The sequence below is a fragment of the Homo sapiens genome, chromosome 6 (assembly GCF_000001405.40).
Source record: "Homo sapiens chromosome 6, GRCh38.p14 Primary Assembly".
NCBI classification, from domain to species: Eukaryota; Metazoa; Chordata; class Mammalia; order Primates; family Hominidae; genus Homo; species Homo sapiens.
Genome location: NC_000006.12, coordinates 34,791,206 through 34,817,924, shown reverse-complemented (window position 1 = coordinate 34,817,924; position 26,719 = coordinate 34,791,206). Strand labels below are relative to the sequence as shown.

The 26,719-nt window shown below is 43.2% G+C and overlaps 1 protein-coding gene across 1 annotated transcript in view, besides 7 other annotated features; it reads right to left on the bottom strand.

Annotated features, from left to right (window-relative positions):
• BLTP3A (bridge-like lipid transfer protein family member 3A) overlaps window positions 1-25,842 on the bottom strand; it is an 85,432-nt gene extending 59,590 nt beyond the window's left edge. Inside the window, exon 1 of the mRNA NM_017754.4 lies at window positions 25,631-25,842. Coding sequence (NP_060224.3) covers window positions 25,631-25,674 — 44 coding nt within the window. The 5' untranslated portion in view covers window positions 25,675-25,842. The remainder of the gene's footprint in view (window positions 1-25,630) is intronic.
• Window positions 6,477-6,526: an enhancer, noted in NCBI's record as "active region_24392". NCBI's record gives its function as "activates an Ori minimal core promoter by ATAC-STARR-seq in GM12878 lymphoblastoid cells {active_cell/tissue: GM12878}" and the evidence as "EXISTENCE:reporter gene assay evidence [ECO:0000049][PMID:35858748]".
• Window positions 6,557-6,616: an enhancer, noted in NCBI's record as "active region_24391". NCBI's record gives its function as "activates an Ori minimal core promoter by ATAC-STARR-seq in GM12878 lymphoblastoid cells {active_cell/tissue: GM12878}" and the evidence as "EXISTENCE:reporter gene assay evidence [ECO:0000049][PMID:35858748]".
• Window positions 25,666-26,202: an enhancer, noted in NCBI's record as "H3K27ac hESC enhancer chr6:34759500-34760036 (GRCh37/hg19 assembly coordinates)". NCBI's record gives its function as "activates a minimal SCP1, AML or CMV promoter by ChIP-STARR-seq in naive H9 embryonic stem cells {active_cell/tissue: H9 hESC(naive)}" and the evidence as "EXISTENCE:reporter gene assay evidence [ECO:0000049][PMID:30033119]".
• Window positions 25,720-26,079: a silencer, noted in NCBI's record as "silent region_17082". NCBI's record gives its function as "represses an Ori minimal core promoter by ATAC-STARR-seq in GM12878 lymphoblastoid cells {active_cell/tissue: GM12878}" and the evidence as "EXISTENCE:reporter gene assay evidence [ECO:0000049][PMID:35858748]".
• Window positions 26,380-26,429: an enhancer, noted in NCBI's record as "active region_24390". NCBI's record gives its function as "activates an Ori minimal core promoter by ATAC-STARR-seq in GM12878 lymphoblastoid cells {active_cell/tissue: GM12878}" and the evidence as "EXISTENCE:reporter gene assay evidence [ECO:0000049][PMID:35858748]".
• Window positions 26,440-26,489: an enhancer, noted in NCBI's record as "active region_24389". NCBI's record gives its function as "activates an Ori minimal core promoter by ATAC-STARR-seq in GM12878 lymphoblastoid cells {active_cell/tissue: GM12878}" and the evidence as "EXISTENCE:reporter gene assay evidence [ECO:0000049][PMID:35858748]".
• Window positions 26,510-26,599: an enhancer, noted in NCBI's record as "active region_24388". NCBI's record gives its function as "activates an Ori minimal core promoter by ATAC-STARR-seq in GM12878 lymphoblastoid cells {active_cell/tissue: GM12878}" and the evidence as "EXISTENCE:reporter gene assay evidence [ECO:0000049][PMID:35858748]".

Genomic DNA, 26,719 nt, shown 5'->3' with positions numbered 1-26,719 from the left:
CCCAGATAGCGCCATTGCACTCCAGCCTGGGCGACAGAGCGAGACTCCACCCCCCCAAAAAAAAAAAAAAAAATTCCTACACGTCTTGCTGGGCCTTTCAAGAATGCATGGTCCTAACCACTTCTTACTCAGGCCTCTTCTCAGGATTGTGGTTACAGAGGACAGCTTTCAGTAATGAAATAATCTCTCCCACTAGGACAAAGAACAGGCCTGCTTACCATTTACTATAAAAGCAATGGATTCCCCAAGCTCAGTGTTCTATTCCTATAACACATATGCAGGCATCCATCTGGGCCCATTCATGTCACTCCCACAGGACTCTGGAGGCAAGGAAAATTGACATAAACATTATACTTATGCTGCTTGCTGGGCCATGAAAAACAGGCTGTGAGTAATAAAGTCCTTTGTCTCTGATCCAGAAGTCTTGTGTGTTCCCCCAGCATCCATGAAACAGTAGGAGTTAATAATTAGCTTCTAAATAGGGTAAAATAAAATCCCAGGCCCTTACACATACTTTTACTGATTTTAATTCACTTTAAAAAATTTAATCTACATTTACTGAGTATGAACTAACTTTATTCTCTGAACCAAAAAGACAAGTTTTCAATAAATGGTTCTTTTCCTCTGAAAACAACTTGCCACAGAGGGAAGGTGATTATTTCTCTTCCGGAAAGAAATGGTTCTTCAGTCCTTTTCCTAAACAAATGGCTATCTACAAGGAAATAGGACTGAGGTACGAAGGAGAAATAAACTCATCTAAATACTTCCTAATAAGACAACAACAAAAGGAAGTAAAGGAAGACAGTGCATGCCCCTAAGGACTCTGAGGAGACAGTAGTCCTGACAGAAGCGAAAGCAGAAAACAGAACTCAACATTATTTGTAATCACTAGGCACGGGCAAATTCTTTTTCAAGTCTCTTATGTATTTAAATAAAATATTATAATTATTTCCTTCTACTGTCCTAGCAACCCTTCCTCTAATCTTAAGTGGTCCAGGGAAGCCATATCAATTCAGAAATTGGGGCAGGGCATAGTTCAGAAGTACTACTAGTCTTAGAAAGATAAGAATGTTTTAACAGGCAGAATGAGTTTTGAAGACTGCAACTACATGTCTCCTCCTGTCCAACCGCACAGATTCTGATAAGATGTTACCTTTCTACCCCAGCTGAGAATTCTTGTAGAAGTGAGCCACTGTCAAGGATGGAAGTAAGGATCCCTCTGATAGGCAGGAGTAAGGAGAAAAGGCTGAGAACCACTAAGATAAACTGCTCTTTCATATGATAAAAAGCCATTTTTATTTTATTTTATTTTTTGAGACAGTCTCACTCTATCATCCAAGCTGGAGTGTAGTGGCGTGATCACGGCTCACTGCAGCCTCGACCTCCTGGGGCTCAAGTGACCCTCCCAATCTCAGCCTCCAGAGTAGCTAGAACCACAAGTGCATGTCACTATACCCAGCTAATTTTTTTTATTTTTTGTAGAGATGGGGTCTCCCTTTGTTACCCAGGCTGGTCTGGAACTTCTGGGCTCGGCTCAAGCAATCCTCCCACCTCAGCCTCCCAAAGTACTGGGATTACAGATGTGAGCCACTGTGCCCAGCCACTTTTAAAGAAAAGAAAGTGAGATAGACGTTTTCAAACTGATGACTTCTCTGAAAAAAGAGAAACATACTTCAGATAAAATAAAACATAAACACAGTCAAGAATAAGTTATACTGTTAGCTAGCACTGACATTCTCTGAGTGATTATACTAAGTAAGTGCTAAGTATCTAATTTCTACGTTGTGTTCTTTGCAAAATCTAACTCTATTTACAGTTCCATATAGATAAATGTATTTTTCAAGCCTTAACAAAAAAAGTATATCAGATTGTATTACATTTCATCCTAACCTTGCCAGTTTTTAGGGCAATGCATCTCAAACTATGGTCCTCTGATCACATGGATCTTAATTATTTTGGAATGCTTATTTTAAAATGCAGGCCGGGCACGGTTGCTCACACCTGTAATCCCAACACTGGGAGGCCGAGGCGGACAGATCACTTGAGGCCAGGAGTTTGAGACCAGCCTGGCCAACATGGTGAAATCCCATCTGTACTAAAAAATCACAAAAAAATTAGCCGGGCCATGGTGAGGCATGCCTGTAATCCCAGCTACTTGGGAGGCTGAGGCATGAGAATCGCTTGAACCTGGGAGGCAGAGGTTGCAGTGAGCCAAGTTTGCACCACTGCACTACAGCCTGGGCAACAAAGTGAGACTCTGTCTCAAAACAAACAAATAACAAAATAATAATTACACGTATTTTTGCCCCATAGGCTGGACCAGATCAATATCCTTTTGTCAGCTAAAAGAAAATTTCATTTTTAAAACATAATTTGGCCAGACACGGTGGCTCACCCCTATAATCCCAGCACTTTGGGAAGCCAAAGCAGGCAGATCACCTGAGGTCAGGAGTTCAAGACCAGCCTGGCCAACATGGAGAACCTCCATCTGTACTAAAAATACAAAAATTAGCCAGGCATGGTGACACATGCCTGTAATTCCAGCTACTAGGGAGGCTGAGGCAGGAGAATCACTTGAACCCGGAAGGCAGAGGTTGCAATGAGCTGAGATCATACCACCACACTCCAGCCCGGGCAACAGAGGAAGACTCTGTCTCAAAACAAACAAACAAACAAACAAACACCAACTTATTTTGTACACCACAAGCGGGAAAAAGCATTATTCTCTGGCCTGAGCCACCAAAACCAAACTACAAATAATAATGACATTTTACTTTGCACCAGGCACTGAACGAAGGGTCTTCATAACATCTGAATTAATCTTTGCAATATCCCACATGAGGTATGCATTATTATCCCCATTGCTCAGAGGAAGAGCATGAGGTTCGGATATGAAGCAGTTTGCCCTAGATGACAGGGCAAGAAGAGGCAGTATGAACCCAGGTGTGCTCACTGGTGTTTACTTCTACTAACATTTTAATATTATAAGTTCCCCCAAAACACACCTGGCACAGAATAAATTTATAAGGTATCTCAGAAGTGGTTGGAGGACATTCTTTTGCTTTTTATAATCTACCATGGTGTGCTTAACCTGTGTTAAGGGGAATACATCTAAACTTTTTTGTTAAAGTTAATAGTGTAACTCCATCAAAAACCTTTCTGCACTTCACCAACTCAACCAGATTAATAAATTTTTTCTTAAGCATGCCCAGGGCTAATTTTCCACCATTCCAGCAGGGACACCCAGTCTCTAGCAACATGCTAACAAGAGACCACAGAGGATACTGTGCCATCAGGTCTAAGATTAACAATACAAGCAAGTAATCACCAAAAGCTGAACAGCACTAAACAACCAAGAGTTCTTCAAGCACTCGAAGGACTGCTGATGGTGCATGCACGTCTGCTGGACCACCATGAGCGGTCCTCCTGTGACTGTAATAATGATATAACATATATACGCTTTTTCACTTTTCAGTTTACTTTTAGGAGTCAACAAAAAATGGATACTGCCTTATTCAAGCTTCTCAAAAAAGGCAGTAAGAATTCTTTAACTGATTTTGCCTGCATTTTAGAGCAATAACAAAGAATAGGTTAAAAAAAATAAAAGATGGTCGGGCACAGTGGCTCATGCCTGTTAATCCCAGTAGTTTGGGAGGCCAAGGCAGGTGGATTGTTTGAGCCTAGGAGTTTGAGACCAGCCTGGGCAACATGGTGAAACCTCATCTCTACTAAAAATACAAAGACTAGTTGGGCATGGTGGCACACCTGTAATCCCAGCTACTTGGGAAGTTGAGGCACAAGAATTGCTTGAACCCAGGAGGTGGAGGTTGCAGTGAGCTGAGATTGTCCCACTGCACTCCAGCCTGGGCGACATAGCGAGACTCTGTCTCAAAAAATAAAAGTAATAAAAATAAAAATAAAAGATGTTCCATGGGCCTGACTGTTGTTGGGGAGGGTTGGGGAGGTTTGGGGAGGTTTGCTCAGCCAAGGAAACTACAGCTCTGAGAATTATATAAGAGGCCCAAGTTTCAGCTCTCTCATCACCTGGAGAGGGAAAATAGCTCAAACTCTCTGCCTATAATGGAATACAACTGGGTTAAACTGCAGCAACGTGATGATAAAACCAACTATTCCAAGTCATCTTCAATAGCCAGTCTAAAATTCACAAACTGCAACCAGATATTGAATTCTTGAGAAGAATTATGTTGTATACTTCTCTTTCTATACCCCACAGTCCCTGGCAGAAAAAAAGCATTTGTGTTCCTAATTGAGGATAATATCATTCAGAGTCCAAGGGCAGCTAAAAAGGCTAATGGCAGCCTGCTATTTATTCCACTTCAAGTATGTGGGAAAACATTTTCTGGCCATCTGTTACTGTTACAGAGTGTAAAAGCTAAGATGAAATCAGGTTGGAAAAACAGATTTTGATCAAGTTTCATTTCTGCCAGAGGATTGCAATGTGCCAAAGAGACGACAGGGAAAGGCTCTCATCTTTGTGAAAATGTATCACAATGTTTGGAAGTGAAAATTCTTAGATTTGCAAATTCGCAGAATTTCAGAGCTAGAAGGAATCTTAAATAATTGTTTAGTCCAAATCTACATTTGCCAATGAGGAAACAAATGGCCAAAAAGCTTAATGACTTGCCCAAGACTCACAGCTTGCCAGTGGTAAAGCTGGAACTAAGTAAATAACAGAAATGGGACTTAACCCAGCATTCATTCAACTCTGACAACACCATGCCCTCTGTAATTCAGCATCTTTATTGGGAATAATAGGGTCAATAAGTTGCAACAGTCAGTCGACTTCAGCTCTCATAGAAATTGAACCCTCCTGGGAGAAATAAAAAGGTCCACAAATACACTTTGCTTCCTTCACCATTTTTTCCATTGAGGAGGTGATCACAGCCAGAGCCTTGGCTTCTAAGCTTCCTACCCAAATCTACAGCAAAATATTTTCACTACTAAGCCACACCACAGGCTTCTCTTTAAACAAAGATATAACACAACACTGAAGCAGTTGGTTTAGATAGCAGGATTCTCTCCATCATCCAAACAAAACATATCAATCACTAATATAGCTAATGCCATTTCATCCCAGATAATCTGATATAATAAGCCATTCAATCTTAGAGGTTTGTCCTAATAGGTTTTACTCTCAAAACTTCTTCATTGGTCAGGTGCAGTGGCTCACACCTATAGTCCCAGCACTTTGGAACTGCTTGAAGCCAAGAGTTCAAGACCAGCCTGGACAACAAAGCGAGACCCTGTCTCTATGAAAAAAAAAAAAAAATTAATTAGCTGGATGCAGTGGCTCATGCCTGTAGTCCCAGCTACTCAAGAGCTGGGGTGGGAGGATCCCTTGATCCTTTGAGGGTGCAGTGGGCTACGATGGTGCCTCTACACTCCAGCCTGAGCAACAGAGTGAGACCTTATCTCTAAAAAGAAAACTGCATGACAATATTACATGCTTTTCTTAGGAGAACCTTCTTTCCTTCTAAATTTTTGTTTGTTGTTTACAATGTTGGGTTTTTTAACTGTTGTGTTATTTAAGGTGCAATTTCCATACAGTGGCTCATCTCGTCTTTTTTTTTTTTTTAAGACGGAGTTTCGCTCTGTTGCCCAGGCTAGAGTGCAGTGGCTCAATCTCAGCTTACTGCAACCTCCACCTCCTGGGTTCAAGCAACTCTCCCTGCCTCAGCCTCCCGAGTAGTTGGGATTACAGGCACCCGCCACCATGCCTGGCTAATTTTGTATTTTTAGTAGACATGGGGTTTCACCATGTTGGCCAGGCTGGTCTTGAACTCCTGACCTCAGGTGATCCTCCCACCTTGGACTCCCAAAGTGCTGGAATTACAGGCATGAGCCACTGTGCCTGGCTTAACTCTTTTTTCTTTTTTTAAGAGCTAGAGTCTCACTGTTACCGAAGCTGGAGTACACTGGCACAATCATAGCTCTCTGTAACCTCAACCTCCTGAGCTCAAGTGATCCTCCCTCAGCCTCCCAAGGAGCTAGGACTACAGGTGCACTCCACTACACCCAACTAAGTTTTTGTTTGTTCATTTGTTTTTGAGACGAAGTCTCACTCTGTTGCCCAGGCTGGAGTACAGTGGCACGATCTCGGCTCACTACAAACCACCTCCTGGGTTCAAGCGATTGTCCTGCCTCAGCCTCCCGAGTGGGCAGGATTACAGGCCTGCATCACCATGCCCGGCAAATTTTTGTATTTTTAGTAGAGATGCGGGGGGGGGGGTCTCACCATGTTAGCCAGGCTGGTCTCGAACTCCTGACCTCAAGTTATCCACCCACCTCAGCCTCCCAAAGTGCTGGGATTACAGGTGCCTGGCCTTTTTTTAAACACTTTTGTAGAGATAGTCTCAATATATTGCCATGGCTGAACTCCTGGACTCAGGAGATCCTCCCATTTCAGCCTCACAAAGTGTTGAGATTACAGGTGTGAGCCATCGCACGTGGCTATGACTCATGTCTGAACTTTCTATTTTGTTCATCTGACCTATATATACTTATGCCAATACCACACTGTCTTTAATACTGCAGCTTCATTTTAGGCATTAAAAAATCCTTTGTGTTCATTTGTTCAGATTATTCTGACCATTCTAGGTCTTTTTCATTTCCATATAGATTTTCAAATCAGCCTGCCTATTTCTGTTTTTAAAAAAATCTGCTGAAACTGATTGGGATTACAGTGAATCTTAGCTCAATTTAGGGAGACCTCACATATCAACAATAATGAGTCAGCCCGTCCCTGAACATAACACACATTGAATGTTTATTTGCATTTCTCTAGACTGCCAATGTCACCACGCACAGTCTATGTTTGTGTGTCTAAGTTTTGATAAATTCGATAAAAGTGTGGAAAAATTTTTGGAGATTTGTGACAACTTGAAAAAACTTGCAGACAAACCTGATAGCCTAGAAATATTTTTTAAATTAAGAAAAGGTTAGGTATGTCATGAATGCATAAAATATATGTAGATACTAGTCTATCATTTACTATCCTAAAGTTTATACTAATCTATTATAAAAAGTTGAAATTTATCGAAACTTAAGTGCAAAAATACTTACAGACTATACATGACACCATTTGCAGTCAGGAGAAATGTAAACAAATATAAAGATGCAGTACTAAATGATAACTGGCCAGGCACAATGGCTCACACCTGTACTCACAGCACTTTGAGAGGTCGAGGCAGGAGGAATGCTTGAGCCCAGGAGTTTGAGACCAGCCTGGGCAACATAGTGAGACCCATCTCTACAAAAAAACAAAATAATTAGCTGGGCATGGTGGCACACGCCTGTGGTCCCAGCTACTCAGTAGGCTGAGGTGGGAGTATCAGTAAAGGTTGCAATGAGCGATGATCATGGAATGCAATCCAGCCTGGGTGACACAGCGAGACCCTGTCTCAAGTAACTACTAAATAATCATAACTGCATAAAATTAACTGTAGTACACGCTATACTGCTGTGATAATGTTGTAGCTATCTAATACTGCAGTAAGCTCACGTGTTATGAGGATCTGCTTAAAACGTTGTATGATGTGAATCATGTCATCTCAGCAAGAGCAGTTCATCTCTCCAATAAATTGCATATTGCAGTAAAAAAGTGGTCTCTTGTGTTTCTTGTGTACTATTCATGATGCTTAGTGCAATACTGTAAACCCTGAATAACACCATGGGACCCACACAATGTGCCACTAATGATGCTGGAAATGCTCCCAAGAAGCAGAGAAAAGTCATGACATTGTAAGGAAAAGTTTAATAGTTTGATATTTCCTATAGATTGAGATCTGCAGCTCCCGGTATCCGCCACTTCAGAAACCTGATTCATCTTGTAAACAGATGATGTAAACTTGTGGCATGCATAGATTTAGTACAGAAAAACTGTAAATGTATTTATCTTCCTTATGATTTTCTGAATAATGTTTTCTTTTCTCTGGCTTACTTTATTGTAAGAATACAATATATAATACATATACAAAATATGTGTCAATCAACTGTTTGTTATCAGTGAGGCTTCCAGTGAACAGTAAACTATTAGTAGTAAGTTTTTAGGCCAGGCACAGTGGCTCATGTCTACAATCCCAGCAATTTGGGAGGCCAAGGCAGGTGGATCACATGAGGCCAGGAGTTCGAGACCACCTTGGCCAACACGATGAAACCCCGTCCCTACTAAAAATACAAAAAATTAGCCGGGCATGGTGGCACACTCCAGTACTCAGAGGCTGAGGCAGGAGAATCGCTTGAACCCGGGAGGCAGAGGTCGCAGTGAGCTGAGATCACAGCACTGCACTCCAGTCTGGGCAACAGAGCAAGACCCTGTCTCAAAAAACAAACAAACAAACGAACAAAAAAACAAAAAACGTTTTTGGGGAGTCAAAAGTTATACATGGATTTTCAACTATGCATGGGGACTGGTACCCCTAAATTCCACTACTGTTCAAGGGTCAACTGTCTTTTATTAAGAACTTATTAATCTTTGTTCACAATGAATATTGATCTGAAGTTTTTGTTTTTGAGACAGAGTCTTGCTCTGTAGCTCAGGCTGGAGTGCAGTGGTGCAACTGCTGCTCACTGCAGCCTCAACCTCCTGGGCTCAATCAATCCTCCTGCCTCAGCCTCCTGAGTAGTTGAGACTAGTGGCATGCACCACCACGCCCAACTAATTTTTCAATTTTTTGTAGAGACAGGGTTTTGCCATGTTGCCCAAGCTGGTCTCAAACTCCTGGGCTCAAATGATCCTCCCACTTCAGCCTTCCAAAGTGCTGGAAATACATGGCTGAACCACCAAACCTGGCGGTCTGAAGTTTTCTTTCCTTATAACATCTTTGTCATGTTTTTCTTATCAAGGTCATACTGAATTTATTAAACAAGTTTGGAAGTATTTATTTCCTAAAATAATTTCTGTAAAATGGGTATTAAGTATTTCTTAAATGTTTAAAAGAAATCACCAATGAAACTATATGAGCCTTTATTCAAATAATTTTGTGCATTTCACTTAAGCTATTGAATTTATTGACAAAAAGATGTTCAGGCTAGGTGCAGTGGCTTACACCTGTAATCCTAACACTTTAGGAGGCTAAGGCAGGATGGCTTGAGTCCAGGAGTTTGAGACCAGTCTGGGCAACATGATGAAACCCTGTCTCTACAAAAAATAAAAAAATTAGGCATGGTGGCATGCACCTGTAGTCCCAGCTACTGGGGAGGCTGAGGTGGGAGGATCCCTTGACCCCAGGGGGTTGAGGCTGCAGTGAGCCGTGACTGTGTCACTGCACTCCAGCCTGGGCAACAGAGTGAGATCCTGTCTCAACAGAAAAAAAAAAAGGTGTTCATAATATCCCTTAACATCTTTTTAACATCTGTACGATCTATAATGATAACCCCTCTTTCACCGCTGACAATATTTATGTTTTCTCTTTTTTCCTTGATCAGTCTTGCTAAAGGTGAACTAAATCCATTAATCTTTTCCAGAAACAAAACAATTTTTGATTATATTAATTCTCTGTTTGCCCTGCTTTTAATTTCACTGATTTCTATTCTTTTTTTTTTTTTTTTTTTTTTTTGAGACGGAGTTTCACTCTTGTTGCCCAGGCTGGAGTGCAACGGAGCGATCTCGACTCACTGCAACCTCCGCCTCCCAGATTCAAGGGATTCTCTTGCCTCAGCCTCCTCCAGAGTAGCTAGGATTACAGGTGCCCGCCACCACGCCCAGCTAATTTGGTATTTTCAGTAGAGATGAAGTTTCACCATGTTGGTCAGGCTGGTCTCGCACTTCTGACCTCAGGTGATCCACCCGCCTCGGCCTCCCAAAGTACTGGGATTACAGTCATGAGCCACCGCGCCTGGCCCACTGATTTCTATTCTTATTATTAGACAGAGTCTCACTCTGTTGCCCAGGCTGGAATGCAGTGGTGTCATCTCAGCTCACTGCAACCACTGCCTCCCGGTTCAAGCGATTCTCCTACCTCAGCTTCCTGAGTAGCTGAGATTACAGGTGCCCATCACCACACCCAGCTAATTTTTTGTATTTTTAGTAGAGATGGGGTTTCAACATGTTGGCCAGGCTGATCTCGAACTCCTGACCTCAAATGATCCGTCCACCTCGGCCTCCCAAAGTGCTGGGATTAGAGGCGTGAGCCACCGCACCCAGCCTACATTTTCTATTTTGACAGATATTCCCATATTTCTTTCATAGACATGATATGGATTTACACTGTCAACAAATCTAACTCACTGCATACATTTCCCAGACCCACGGTAGCTGTCTAGCCCATGACTTGCAGCACTCTCATTTACTGCCATTCCAATACTGGGCCAGTTGAAAGAACAAGGATTCCCCAGAGGTTCTCTTTTCTTAATTCGCAACAGTAGCCTTGCTGAACATTCTAATTCCCTCCTCTAAGCACAAAGACTTGCTAAAACCCAGCCTGTTTAGCTGAAGCCCTAATAATCTGTTTGGCTTGAGCCAGTCTTCTTTCCTAGAAGTGAATATCTTCAGGCCAGGCGCAGTGGCTCACACCTGTAATCATTCTAGAATTAGAACTTAGAGCTCCTCAGTGACTCTATCTCAGGGATAGCAACCCTCTACCCGCTTTCATTTGACCATTCAGCTCCCACGGTGGTTAGGGCCCAAATTCTTTCCCTACACTAGTCCTGAAGATACTATACCTCATGACTCATGTATTGGCATGTCTCACTTTGTTAGGAACAGTTCTTGTCATCCTAACACAGTTCCCTTAATTTCCTTTACTTCCGCTTCTTGACCATTCCCAAACTTACATCTAGGACAATAATTGATAAACTCTAAATATTAGATTCCTAGTGTTAAAACCTACATGCAGGCTCTAGATTACCTAAAGTGAAAATGTACTTGCTAATGCTCAGAAAAGGAAGGCCTATTCCACTAACAGGCATTGCTTGTTATTCACTATTGGATAAGAATAGGTTATCTGCTGGGTGCAATGGGTCATGCCTGTAATCTCAGCACTTTGGGAGGCCGAGGCAGGTGGATCACTTGAGGTCAGGAGTTCGAAACCAACCTGGCCAACAAGGTGAAACCCTGTCTCTGCTAAAAGTACAAAAATTAGCCGGGCGTGGTGGCAGGAGCCTGTAATCCAGCTACTCAGAAAGCTGAGGCAGAAGAATCGCTTGATCCAGGAGGAGGAGGTTGCAGTGAGCTAAGATTGCGCCACTGCACTCCAGCCTGGGTAACAGAGCAAAACTCCATCTTGGGGAGGGGGGGAGAATAGGTTATCCATGTTACTGCCTCAAAGAGCTATTTAGAGAAGTGTAGCATATATCTTTGAAAACTGCCCAAGGAAGAAACTGAGGATAAGAAAATTCATACAGTAAGGCTGTCGTTAGTTTCTGAGCAGAACTGACCCTAACTTTGACCAACATGTACGCTTAGGTTAAGAGGCAAAGACTGTGCAAAATGAGCTCTCTTTTACCAATGGTGGTGAAAGAAAAGCCCTGTCAGACATCTGAGTTGTTTCACCTGGGCAAATGACTGCACGAACACGTACCTAAGAGAGCAGCACATTCAACTGGCTAGGGTTAATGGGCTCAAACCATACAAAAGAGCTGTGGAGGATACAAATAAGAATTTAAAATAAAAACAAAGGTCTCTAACCCTAAGGACTATGAGATCCTTAAGAGCAAGAACTGGGACATTTAGTCTACGTCAAACATAAAGTCTAGGAAAAGGATGCTCAATTAATGCTTAATGACTTGATAACAATACAAAGCAAATAAATGATAATTGCCAAATAGGTGGAATGAGCTATCCAACAATCCATCTACATTCTTCTACACATTGCAAATCAACTCTAATATGTCTGATTAATCAGACTTGTTAAACCAGGTTTAAGACTATCATCTGTAAATATGAAAATAAATTTCTTTGTGAGGTTGAGGTAGAAGGCACACTCTTCCCATTAGAGAGAATTAGGTGTGCAAAGTGCTTAAAAAGGAGACAGAGAAATAAATACCTTTTAAAAGCCCAGTCTACAAGCTTTTATAATAAAATTAATATCCAGGAAAAATGGAAAAGGATGCTATTGCTCTGAGAATAAAATTATTTTTAAAATAATAGCTAACATTTAATAATTGCTTACTTTATTCCAGGTACTGCTCTAAGCACTTTATACTTTTTTTTTTTTTTTTTTTTTTTTTGAGATAGGGTCTTGCTATATCACCCAGGCTGGTCTTGAACTCCTGGGCAGGCTCAAGCAATCCTTCTGCCTCAGCCTCCTGAGAAGCTGAGAATACAGGCATGCACCACCACACCCAGCTTATCTTTTTTTTTTTTTTTTTTTGAGACCAAGTCGCCTTCTGCTGCCCAGCCTGGGGTGCAATGGCACTATCTAGGCTCACTGCAACCTCCGCCTCCCAGGTTCAAGTGATTCTCCTGCCTCAGCCTCCCAAGTAGCTAGGATTACAGGCATGAACCACCATGCCTGGCTAATGTTTGTATTTTTAGTACAGATGGGGTTTTGCCATGTTGGCCAGGCTTGTCTCAAACTCCTGACTTCAAGTGATCTGCTTGCCTCAGCCTCCCAAGGTGCTAGGATTACAGGTGTGAGCTACCACGCCCAGCCATCCAGCTTATATTTAACTATTTTTTTTTTGAGTCATGATCTCACTCTGTCGCCCAGGCTGAAGTGTAGTGGCACAGTCACGGTTCACTGAAGCCTCGACCTCTCAGGCTAAGGTGATCCTCCCAAGTAGCTGGGACTACAGGTGTGTGCCACGATGCCCAGCTAATTTTTTTATTTTTTGTAGAATTGGAGTCTTGCTATGCTACCCAGGCTGGTCTGGAACTTCCGAGCTCAACCCATCCACCCACCTTGGGCTCCCAAAGTGCTAGGATTACAGGTGTGAGCCACTGTGCCCGGCCTATACATTTTAAATTAATTTATTTATCTCAATGACCTCATGATGTAAAAGATTACTATTATCGCCACTTTATATATGAGAAAACTGAGGCATAGAAAGGTCAAATAACTTGCCCAGGTCATAGAGCTAGTAATCAACAGAGCTAAGATTCAAAATCTGGCAGTCTGGCTCAAGAACCTGCAACCTTAACTAAACCATACAATCTCCCTGACTTTTAAAAAAGTCAACACAGGTGTAGAGGTTTGGAGATGTTTCAGTTGCCTCAGATCAAAGGCAGTAGCAACTGAAGGCAGCAGGGAACAAGCTGAGCCCTATCTAGATGTCTTGGTATAGTACAAAAGGCCTCCATGATCTAGCTTCTGTCTTTCCAATATCATTTCTAGCTGTGTTCCACCCTCAAACCCTACATTCAAGTGATACAGAACCATAGGCAATCTCCTAAATGCACCCTGCTGCTTCTCAGTATCATTGTTCATGCGGCTCCCTCTGCCTGGCATCACCTTTCTTCCCATCTGTGCCACTCCCCACTCCAACCCCCCAGCTCTGCAGATACTTCTTAATGCATTACTGGGCTTTCTGCTTACAGACCTACTGGCAGTTAGGTCCTTAAAGAGAAACCTTGTCTCATTTGTCTTTGAGTTCCTACTGCTTGGCAACCAATGGCAGATGGGCAATAAAGTTTGCCTAAATAATTAATGAATAAATAGTCTCAAAAACAGAGTCCCCAAAGGTAGCTCAGGGTCTGGGTCCAGCTGACAAAAAGGATAGACTACCTGAACTCTCCAGCCCAGACATCCAGGAAGAGCTAAGACACTACCTACAGATGTGTATCCAATATTACTGCAGCAAACCTTCCTTAAAGACGCTAGGAAGCTCACCTGGGCTCAGAGGACTAAAGAGCCAGAGCCTGCCTGAAAGGAAGACAGTGTGGGGATTTACTGAGGCTCAGCAAAAGGATACACATACTACTATATACTGCCAGGCCTCTAATTTCGTATCAGCCGCTGTGAAGACACTTTCTCAAATGAAATGTGTTCCTCAACTGCAGCCCCTTCTTTCATCCAAGTTTAAAGAAAGATTTAAAAAAGAAAGAAAAAGAAAAACAGGTTTATCTGAGAAGGAAAAATAAAGTTTTCAGCATTGCCTAGGAAAGCACCGAGACAGATGACCAGAAGCAGTCAGCTTGGATTAACTAGTATTCCCTCCTTACTCGGATTTTCTACATATTAGAACTCTTCAACTTTCAAATGACTGATACATACCACGCTCCCCACACCCATGTCCTGTCCCCAATGCCACAGAAATCATTTTGGAAAAACAAAAACAAACTGGGAACTTTTGGAGTATCTGTGGATTCAGAAGCTGTGAAAGTAAGGGTAGCTTAGGAGAGCAGACCTAGTAGGACATATTCTGAATTAGATCTGGTTATTTATTTGGTGGCATTCCTGCTCCAAAATATGTTCTCTACTTTTCCTCTTGACTTAGCTGAAATCTTATATCCTAAAGATTTGAGGATTCTGGTAAAAAAAAGAGTAAGGGAAACTGAGCATGCAGACCTGAGCAGGTTGGGGGTACAGTAGCAAAGCACTGAGGGCAAAATCAGAGCAACTGGGGGCATGAGAAGAGAGACCTCCAGAGGTGAGTAAGAGACATATAGTAGGGAAAAAGAGTGTACAAGAGCAAACTTTAGCTGTTTCAAAATTTCATACAAAAGAAATTTCATACTAAGTCACCAGTTTTCAACCCTAACAGACTCAACTCAATTCCTTTTTTTTTTTTAACTTTACAATGCCTCTCTTAGTTACTAAAATCATTATTTTTTATTTTTTGATACAGGGTCTTGCTCTGTTGCTCAGGCTGGAGTGCAGTGGCGCGATCACAGCTCACTGCAACCTTGACCTCCCGGCTCAAGCAATCCTCCCACCTCAGCCCCCCAAGTAGCTGGGACTACGACAAACACACGCCACCATGCCCCACACCCAGCTAATTTTTGTATTTTTTGTAGAGACGGGTTTCACCATGTTGCCCAGGGTGGCCTGGAACTCCTGAGCTCAAGCGATCTGTCCACCTTAGCCTCCCAAAGGGCTAGGATTATAGGTGTAAGCCACTGCGCCCAGCCTCTCAAGTGATTTTTTTTACATATAATATAACCTACTTACTTACGCACATGATTTCAAAAAAAGTAAAATACAATGTCCAAAGTATAATATAAAAGGAAAATAATTTACAATAAAATCATTTGTATTTCAACATGTTAAGTGCTCCAACACCACTGCACCAGAAGACAAAGTTGTCAGATGTTTGCATGCAAACGTGGAATCACCAGGATTTGGACTACTAAAAATGCAGACAGGCTGGGCAGGGTGGCTCACACCTGTAATCCCAGTACTTTGGGAGGCCGAGGCAGGCGGATCACCTGAGGTCAGGAGTTCAAGACCAGCCTGGCCAACATGGTGAAACCCCATCTCTACAAAAATAAGCTGAGCATGGTGGTGGGTGCCTGTAATCCCAGCTACTTGGGAGGCTGAGGCGGGAGAATCGCTTGAACCCGGGAGGCAGAGGTTTCAGTGAGCCGAGATCGCACCATTACACTCCAGCCTGGGCAACATGGCAAGACTCCGTCTCAAAAAAAAAAAAAATTAGCCGGGCTTGGTGGTGGGCACCTGTAATCCCAGCTACTCAGGAGGCTGAGGCAGGAGAATTGCTTGAACCCCGGGAGGCAGAGGTTGCAGTGAGCTACGATCGCACCGTTGCACTCCAGCCGTGGCAACAAGAGCAAAACTCCATCTCAAAAATAAACAAATAAATAAATAATAAATAATAAAAATGCAGGCATATACAACTTTATCATATTGGTGATTCCAATACCAAGAGTAACAGCATTTTCCAAAACGGTGACAAATTCTTGGTAAAGTTCAAAACGATCTTCCCTCATGGCAGTTTCCTAAAATATTCACTATAGTTTAAAGCTGTGCAGGCCAGGCATGGTGGCTCACGCCTGTAATCCCAGCACTTGGGGAGGCCGAGGTGGGTGGATCATGAGGTCAGGAGATCGAGACCATCCTGGCTAACACGATGAAACTCCGTCTCTACTAAAAATACAAAAAACTAGCCAGGTGTGGCGGCGGGCGCCTGTAGTCCCAGCTACTCCGGAGACTGAGGCAGGAGAATGGCGTGAACCGGGAGGCGGAGCTTGCAGTGAGCCAGAGCTTGCAGTGAGCGGAGATGGCGCCACTGCACTCCAGCCTGGGAGACAGAGCGAGACTCCGTCTCAAAAAATAAATAAATAAATAAATAAATAAATAAATAAAATAAAGCTGTGCGATATTTTGTGCTTTTATGTAAAATAGAGTCTAAGCTCATTTAATCTATACAGTGGATTCAGCTACATAAACATCTAACGACATTCAAAAGTCAAAAAGGACAAGGGACAATGCTTCTTTATGTGAGATTATTCCATGTACTGCAGGACACGGCCCCCCATTCACCAAACGCTAGTCATGCCCCTCAGTCACTGTGACAACCAAAAACAGTCCTTGGTGAGATACAATGATCTAAAGGAACTTACTCCAAGGAATAGGAAAAAAAATACTTTTCCCCCCTCTCCCCAGCTCCTTCAAATATAGTTCCCTAACAACCAAGACCCAGAACTTAATATAGTAAGTTTATGTGGCTTTTGCAGGCTAACATAGGGAACTATTCAACATTACGTCACTATTTCTATTGGACTACACACTCCAAATTTCAAACTTAGAAATAACTGTTGGGAACACAGTAACACAGTGCTTCTATTAAGTCTGACTTAAATACATTGATTGCCATCAATGTCCTCCACAATTTTTTAAAATGATAGGCTGGAATCCAAGCTACATACAACCAATGCACTCTAAAGACCAAGCATACATGTAAAAAGATTGCTGTGTAGGCAAATGAAACAACAGTCAATTCAACAAATATTTTATAATATATCTAGGCCTAGCCAGATGCGGTGGCTGTAATCTCACGCCTGTAATCCCAACACTTTGGGAGGCTCAGGTAGGTGGATTACTTGAGGCCAGGAGTTTGAGACCAGCCTGGCCAACATGGTGAAACCCCATCTCTACTAAAAATACAAAAAATTAGCCAGGCACGGTGGCATGTGCCTGTAAACCCAGCTACTTAAGAGGCTGAGGCATGAAAATCGCTTGCACCTGGGAGGCGGAGGTGGCAGTGAGCCGAGATCACACCACTATATAAATATATCTTATTTTTGTGACAAACAGATACCAACTACATACCCTTTTACTAAGATATATTATTATTTTACACTTTAGTTTTCTGCTTTACTATAGATACTGATTGATTCTACTGGTTCTAGATACTGGGAAATGTTCTTTTCCAATATTTATCTGTATTCAGCACCGGTACTTTAATATCTGTGTTCACAACCAGTAGCAAATACTTGCCATCACCACACAGAGTTAAAAGGCCCCTTAAAGATACGGGATGAACTGGATTTCCTTGTCCTCCCCTCCCTACAACCCCCATTACTCCCCAAGTCTAAGGTTCTCTGAGTTCTGAATTCCAACCATGCATTCTCACTACATATATCTTCTCCCAATTTACCCACTCAACGCATCCTCAAACTCTCCGATTTCAAAGCAACCAAGACACACAATCCCTGCTGTTTTGGAGGACACATTACAGTGGGTATAGAGAACTGAGCTTTCTTTTCCGTGATTAATGCCATACCCAGATTATTCAACCAGGTTCTGTATTAAGTAAGGGTACCTAAATGACCTCTAATTTTTCACCCTAATAAAGTATATGTTATCTTCTTAGACGCTGTATAAGTAAATCCTCTAAAGGCCTAACCCAAGATACAAATTTCAGCTATTTCAGCTATGCTGAGGTCAAAGTTTCCTCCTTGAGGTATGCCTTGATATGAAAAAAAAAAAGATAAATAGGAACAACTTTGGTTTTCTCCTCAAGCATCAATGCAAAAGCATTAATCTCAACCTCTCTGTACTGAAAGACTAAGAAATGTGATTTCCAAATATCTAAATGTCTAAAGAATTAGACATCTGGAAAAGTCTGGCATAACCTTGAAGATAATGAAAAAAAAAAAAGTACTATCTCCAAAAACTAACAGTCGTCTCTCTTGAGCTACTCTAATAAGTAAAGATAAATTGTAATGGTTATTGTTTATGGAATACTTTTTCAGGACCAAGGAGATTTATACATTATTTCTAATCCTCAAAGCATTATGCGTTATTATGCCCATTTTACAGATGAAGAAATTGAAACTTGGAGAAGCTAAAAAACTTGCTGAATGTCTAGCTTAGAAGTAGCAGAGTCAAAATTCACAGCCACTTTTTGGAATCCAAAGCCTGGTTCTTTCTGCTACATTGACATGCTTCTCAATTTTTCGAAGCAGTTAATTTTCATTACTGTGAACCATATATTATGCTGTTGAATGTCAAATACATACTACAGTACTGCTTTGAAAATTTTATTGCTTTTAAATACTTTTTTTTTTTTTCCCAGACAGGGTCTCACTCTGTCACCCAGGCTGGAGTGCAGTGGCATGACCTTAGCTCACTGCAGCCTCAGCCTCCCAGGCTCAAGTGATCCTCCTGCTTCAGCCTCCCAAGTAGCTGGGACTACAGGTGTGAACCACCATGCCTGGCTATTTAAATTTTCATTTGTTTAATAAAGATAAAATGCTATGCCAATGGGGCAAGATTACAAAGCAAGTATGAAACTATTTCATTAATATCTAGGGTAGCCTAGGCCAGGTATGGTGGCTCACGCCTGTAATTCCAGCACTTTGGGAGGCTGAGGTGGGCGGATCACTTGAGGTCTGGAGTTCAAGACCAGCCCGGCCAACATGGTGAAACCCTGTCTCTACTAAAAATACAAAAATTAGCCAGGCCTGGTGGCGGGCACCTATAGTCTCAGCTACTCAGGAGGCTGAGGCAGGAGGATCACAGGAGCCCAGGAGGTGGGGGTTGCTGTGAGGCAAGATCATGGCACTGCACTCCAGCCTGGGCAACAGAGCGAGACCCTGTCTCCAAAAAAACAAACAAATAAAATCCAGGGTAGCCTAAAGATCAAATATTTACAAAAACCCAAATGCCTGGAGAATAGCCCCTCCTTTCTCTTAATGTACATGATTGTCATTTTGACAGAGGGCTGAGCATTACATCCATTCCAAGTAAGAAATGTTATAGGTTAATGGTCAGAAATAACCCTAATTATTTTCATTGTACCTTTGTAATTTGAACATTACTCCAAAAAAGATCTTATGCTTTCAAGGTTCTGATATATGCTTGTGACTAAAATTTTAAATACCTCAGAATCTAAAAACTGAACTGACAGCAAAAATAAAATACCTATCTTGTTTACCACAGACAAAGTAAAAAAAAAAAAAAAAAAAGAAAGAAAGAAAATTAAAAATACATTCACCAGAATGGCTACAATGCAAAGCACTGGCAAGGATATAAAATAATCAGATCCCTCACACACTTCTGGTGGAAATGTAAATTGGTATAGCCACTTTGGAAAATGGTTTAGTGTATCCATTAAAGCTAAACATATACATATTCTACAATCTAAAAATTCTACCCTACATATATTCCCAACAGAAATGCGTACATTTGTTTAAAGGACATGTACTAGAATGTTTCTAGTAGCGCTGTTCATAACGGCCCTAAACTGGTATCCAGAAGTCCATCAACAGTAAAATGTACAAGTAAACTGAGGTATTATCACATAATGAAATGCTATACAGCAATGAAAAAGAATCTACAACTTGATGCAAAATATGGATTAATCTCACAAATCTTGCACTAAAGAAGCCAGACATAAATGTATAAATATAATTCAATTTATATAAAATACAAAATTGAATCTATGCTGTTAGAAATCTGGACATTGGTTACCCTTTGGTGGAGATAATGACTGGAAGGAGACACAGGGCAGGGTGGGAAGCTTCTCAGATGCTAGTAATATTGTTTCTTCAGGTGGCTGCTAGTGACATGATCATGTTCAGTTTGAAACACTCAATAGATGGGAGGCATTATAGCAGCAGAGTGGTTGAAGAGCACAGCTCTGGAATTGGAATGCCTGCATTTGAATCTCTATCACTTACTAGTTACAACTTTGGGTAAGTTATTTAACTTTTCTGTGCTTCCTTTCTTCATCTATAAAATATGCCTAATATGCACCTCATAGGGTTATTATGGGGACTAAATTGTCTTAAGATTTGTAAAGTGCTTATTAGCACAGTGGGCTATTATTAAATACTTGCTAAGTAAATAAAAGTGCTTTATTCTGAAGCAACACAAGAAAATGAGAAAGGGAAACAGAAACATAGGATTTAACTATTACTAGAAAATGCATGAAATAATTATTTTGGAAAAGAACGTGATAATAACTAAAGTCTAGTGTAAAAAGAACATGACTGGAAGTTGTGACTAGTCCGACAAGCTTCCACCTAAGTGACCTTGGAAAAGTAACAGCCTCTCTGAGCCTGGAACTCCTACTATCAACTGGAGGCTGGCCCCGATGATCTCTAAGATCTTTGCTGCTCCTCAGTGTTCATCAAGATGATGAGTGGAGGCAGTCATCATGAACTAAGAGGGCTAAATTTGCAATCAGGCTCTCTTATTCTCCAAAAGAAATGCTGAACTCTTCTATGCCTCTGAATTTCATCTAACATGTTTTCAAAATATCTATCATGTCTATCAGCCAGGTCTCTATCGCTGAGGTTCACATTTCCTGCGGTCATTTAAAATAAATAATTAAGGCTCCTGATGGGTTTTAAAAGAGCTAGCCGGGTTTCTGTCATCCATGCCATCACAGTGGACCTAACTTCTTTGGCTACATTATATAGCGACTCTTTATTAAACATCTATTTATATGTCAGGCACTATAATAAAAACTTTATCCCCAATGCGCCAAAAAAAACTACTAGGTATGTATTATTCTTCCTCCTTATCTTTTACAGATAAGAAAACTAAGGCTCAGGGCCGGGCGCAGTGGCTCACGCCTGTAATCCCAGCACTTTGGGAGGCCAAGGCAGGCGGATCACCAGGTCAAGAGATCAAGACGATCCTGGCCAACATGATGAAACCCCATCTCTACTAAAGATACAAAAATTAGCCGGGCGTGGTGGCGTGCACCTGCAGTCCCAGCTACTCGGGAGGATGAGGCAGGAAAATCACTTGAACTCGGGGGGGCAGAGGTTGCAATGAACCGAGATTGCACCACTGCAAAAGGCTGCCCTGCTGATTAGTGGCAGGGCTGGAAGGTGAATCTGGCATGTTTGGCTCCAGAGCCCATGCTCCTTCCATTAACGATAGATGCTTGCCTTTCTTTACAATTGATCATATTTCTTCTTATTTGTATAACGAAAGGTCATTAGCTTAGGTCACGTAAAACAAGAAAAACCTAATTTAGTGAAAAATCAATTTTGAATATTTTTTAAATCATTGCTTTGTGTTTCTAAGAAAAGGTTTCTTCCAAGGTCTATTTAAATGAATACTGGGCATTAAAGCTATTTGCATTGAGCAGCAGTCATGAAAACCAAGAGTTAAACCCTTTAAAAGGCATTTATATTTCTTCCTCACTGCATCTCCAGTGCCCAGATTAGTGCCTGGCCTAGGGTAGGCATTTAAGAAAATCATATTGAATACCATTCTCTTCAAATCTCGTTTACCAAAATACTCTACTACTAAGGAGGGTGCATTCCAACAAGATACTTTATCATCTGAAAAACTTCATGTCCAAATAAGCATAATATGACTCACTGGTGTATCCTCTCTGCTGTGGGCCATTCTCCTGTAGGTCAAATGGCATCATCAGCAACAAGTAATTATCAAACACCTACAGTATTTATTTAATACACTATATCTTTATTTAACTTGATATGCCTTCCCGTCTCTCTCTTTCCCCATCAGGTTTGGGAAGCCACAGAGTCATAGTTCCTCCCCAGGCAGGCTAGCCTGTATGTGGTAAAGACTACACAGAGACACAAATGTCACATGTGATTAGGCAGCTTTTCCAAGCTAAACAAACACAAAAGCCCCAGGAGTTTGGCCTTTCCCCTAACAAGACTCATAATTTACCACCTCTTCCTGGAGTCCTGAAATTGCAACTATAATGTGACCTCTTCCTCAGTCCCCTGCCCAATGCTGAGAAAATCAGAAATTTTCCCCAATGTCTGTGATACTTATTCCTACTTCATCTATTAATAAAAAAGGCACTGTGTTCGCCAAGGAATGTGTAAGCATATACTGCTAAAATTTTTCTTTAAAAATTATATGTTCAGGCCAGGCACGGTGGCTCACGCCTGTAATCCCAGCACTTTGGGAGGCTGAGGCAGGCGGATCACGAGGTCAGGAGATCGAGACCATCCTGGCTAACATGGTGAAACCCTGTCTCTACTAAAAAAAAAAAAAAAAAATCAGCCGGGTGTGGTGGCACGCGCCTGTAGTCCCAGCTACTTGGGAGGGCAAGACAGGAGAATCGCTTGAACCCAGGAGGCAGAGGTTGCAGTGAGCCGAGATCGTGCCACTGCACCCCAGCTTGGGCGACAGAGTGAGACTCAGTCTCAAAAAAAAAAACAAAAAACAAAAAAAACTGTATGTTCAGGCTGGGCGCAGTGGCTCACCCCTGTAATCCCGGCACTTTGGGAGGCTGAGGCAGGATTCCTTGAAGCCAGGAGTTCAAGACCAGCATGGGCAACATAGCAAGACTTGATCTCTACAAAGAAATTTTTAAATTAGCCAGGGGCATGGTGGTGCATGGTCTCAGCTACTCAGGAGGCTGAGGCAGGAGGATCACTTGAGCCTGGGAGGTCAAGGCTGTAGAGTGCCATGATCGCGCCACTGCACTCCAGCCTAGGCACAAAGCAAGATTCCGTCTCTAAAAAACAAAAACAAGGCTAGGCGTGGTGGCTCACGCCTGTAATCCCAGCACTTTGGGAGGCCGAGGCAGGTGGATCACGAGGTCAGGAGATCGAGACCATCCTCGCCAACATGGTGAAACCCCATCTCTACTAAAATACAAAAAAAAAATTAGCTGGGCGTGGTGGCGCATGCCTGTAGTCCCAGCTACTCAGGAGGCTAAGGCAGGGGAATCTCTTGAACCCGGTAGTTGGAGGTTGCAGTGAGCCGAGATCGCGCCACTGCACTCCAGCCTGGTGACAGAGTGAGACTCCGTCTCAAAAAAAAAAAAACAAAAAAACTCTACGTTCATAGGAGTGCACAGAATATCTGTGTATTACAGAGAAAAGTGTACCAGAATTAGGTTCTGTTCCATTACCTTACCTTCCTATGCAACTTAGGCAAGTCACTTATCTTCTCCAGGCTTTAGTTTCCTCAGCCATAAAATGAGGTACGAAACTAGATCAGGGATTATTCACCTAGTTCCAAGATGCCTTGAGGGATTCAGGCATGTGCTTCAGGGGTTTATAACTGCTCCTTCCTCTTAATCTTATATAAAAATTACCTGTTTGCGTATATGAATTTTTCCGGAGATAAGGTCTATAGCTTATGTCAAATTGTCACACAAATTGTGATCCAAAAAATAACCATACCTCATGTTTTATTGAGCACATAGTGTATGTTAGGCACTGTGCTAAGTCCTTACATATATTAATTCATGTAACACAATAACCTTTAATTTTTAATTTTTGTGGGTACACAGTAGTGTATATATTTATGGGGTACATGAGATGTTTTGATATAGGCACGCAATGTGAAATCAACACATCATGCAGAATGGAGTATCCATCCTCTCAAGCATTTATCCTTTGAGTTACAAACAATTCAATTACATACTTTATCTTAAAATATACTTTTTTTTTTTTGAGACAGTCTCGCTCTGTCACCTAGGCTGGAGTGCTGTGGCGAAATCTTGGCTCACTGCAACCTCCGCCTCCCGAGCTGAAGCGATCCTCCTGCCTCAGCCTCCCAGGTAGCTGGGATTACAGACTTGTACCACCATGCCAGGCTAATTTCTGTATTTTAGTAGAGACAGGGTTTCATCATGTTGGCTGGGCTGGACAAACAGTAGGTCTTATTCATTCTTTTTTTTTTTTTTTGTACCCTTGAAGTAGATACTGTTCTTATCCCCATTTTAGAGAAAGTAAATCAGAAAGAACCCAGGCTCTTAAACAACAATGCTATGATAGGTGAGATCATCTCTAAGCCCTAAAATTCTATGTCCTTTCAAATTATACAATTCTCCTCTGGTTAAGTTATCTGTTCCATTCTGCAATCTTTGGTCATGCCCCAAATACTATTATATCTTTACACAAAACCAGACTCATGGAACATCTAGATTACTATCACCTGAAAAAGAATATATTACGTTAATCTGAGTAAAAGGTCCAAAGGCACTTTCCAGCACCAGCCTCCAATGTGCTTTTTCTTTTACTACGTGGTGATTAACCAAAAGATGGATCTGGGTCTAATTACTAATTAAAGTCTCAGATCAAAGTGTCAGCCAGGAAAAGGGGATGCAGTGGCAGGAAAAGTGTCTCACACACCGCTTACCAAAGCAATGAGAAGACCCAGAAAGAAACATCAGTGCAAGCCTGGGTGTCCCATGTTGACCGACATCTCCCCTCACCCCTACCTCCTGAAAACCACTGACCACTGTGCAGCCAAGCCCTGGGTCACTCTCTACTTGAGATACAAAGGCTGGTTAAGGTATTAACCATCACCAACTCCAGCATGGAATAAGGAGTGAAAACTAAGTGAAACCTAGCTCCCAATTTTTGTGGCCACTGGTTGTGACAACCTGCAATCGCAACACGGGGTTCAGCAGTCACTCGGCTACACCTGAAAACTGTTTTGCCGGCCAGCCTCCTCATGCCAAATTACTCAGCGACATAACATTGCTTAATAAAAGGCTGCAAAGCAGAAGCGGACGTTGTTGGTTCTTTTCACAGGCTGTCAAAAAAACCTCCACATCTTAAAGGGAAGGTTGCGGAAACTTTATCCCCAACTCTCATGACCTTTCTCCAATTAGGCTATGTAATGAAAAGAAAAGCAAAAGAGGGAAAAAGAAGTCCAGAGGAACGGCCCTGGGTGCTGGGCTTTTCCAAGGGTGATGCAACAGGGTCAGACAGAAGAGGAGGAGGTGGGAGCTCCTGGGAAAGAGAAAACCAGCCTCAGCGTTGGAAATCTAAGGGGAAATGGCTTAGCAGGACTGGTAGCAGGGTTATTTAGAACGGGCAGGGGCATAGGATCTGGGAGAGGAGGGCGGTCAGAGGCCCAAAGGAAGGGGCAGGGGCCCGAAGGCCAGAGAAAGCAGAGAGAAGACAGCTGGTTCGGGCAGGCAAGAGTGGGCTTCGTGGGGGCCTCGGAAAGACGGTCAAGGGAGCACGGGGTGACCTGCTTGGAGGTGTGGGAGGTGGGGACAGCAGGCCAGAAGGGCCTTGAGGGGAAAGAAAAAGTCCAGGGGGTTGTTAGAGTGGGGAGAGACTAGCGGCACCGGCGCCAGGACAGGAGGGCCCAGCGCGGGGGAAGCACAGAGCGGCGACAACGGTGGGCGCCGGCGGGCGCGGGGGGAAGCTGTCCGGGCTCGAGTTAGGCAGGGGCTGCCACGGAGTCCGGGCTCCGGGCTGGAGAGAGGCAGACTGGGCCCGGAGCGCGGCGTCAGGGAGGAGGTCGGAGAGGGTTAGGAAGGGCCCAGGACCGCCGGGGGCCGGCGCTGGCGCTCTCACCGGGACAGGTGTTTCAGGATCTGCTTCTTAATGATCCCGGCCATGCCGGAGCCGCGGCCCGCGTGGAAGGCGGGTGGGCCGGCAGCTGTGGCCTCCTCAGTTGTGGAGAAGAGGCGGTCCCCTCACCTCGCCGCGGCGTGAGCACCGGACACAGCCGCCGCCGCCGCCATGGCGCTTTCTCGCCCCTCTTTGGGCGCCTGGCGCTCCGCCACGATCCCACCCACCAGCGCGGCGCCGCGGCCGCCCGCCCAGAGCGACGCGAAGATCGCGCGCCACCCGCCGGCCTTGCTTGCGGCGGCCAGAGGCGCGCGCGGTGAGGGGCGGCGGCGCGCGCAGCGCCGGGGCTGGCTGGCTCGAGCTTCCTCCCTCCGCGCTCCCGTCCGCCTCTCGGGTCTGAAACGCTTCTTTCGCCTCTGAGGGGTGTGCGGTTCCTTTCGCACCCGGCAGTCGCCTTGAAACCTAGGAGAAAGGCGGGGTAGTTGTAATTTTTGCAGAAATTCGTTAGATCATTGCGCAGCTCCCGGATGCCAGCGTCCGCCTCTCATTTATTTCCCTCACACATTCACTCAGTATTTGTTGAGCACCAGCTGTACTCCAGGTATCGGGCTGGGGACTGAAAAGTAGTATCAAGGACCTCACAGACCCATAGATGGGACACGCGAACCAACCGCTGCGGTCACCTGCGAAGGGCTTTGTGCTGGAGAGCTGGGAAGGGGGCGCCCGTCACCCTCTTGGTGCCTCCCTTAGTCTCGTCTCCTGAACCGATGGGCAAAATGTATTTACTCAAGACCTGAGCGGCTCACTGCAGAAGCACTCCCTCCCAAATGTGGGGTCAGAAGAAACTGAGACGGTCAATTGTTAAAATGACCTAGGACTTTAGAGATCAGCTTCTTCACTGTGCAAATACGGAAACGGAAGCCCTGGGAAATAAGAGCTTTCCCAAGGTCACCTACTTAGGGCCACCCAGGACTAGAACCCAAATATTCTGACTCCCAGTCAAGTGTTAGATGCACTCTATTTCATCCATATGCTTAAAAGTGTAACCCGCATGCCGGCGACACCCGTAGACCCAATGGCAAAGATGGAAAG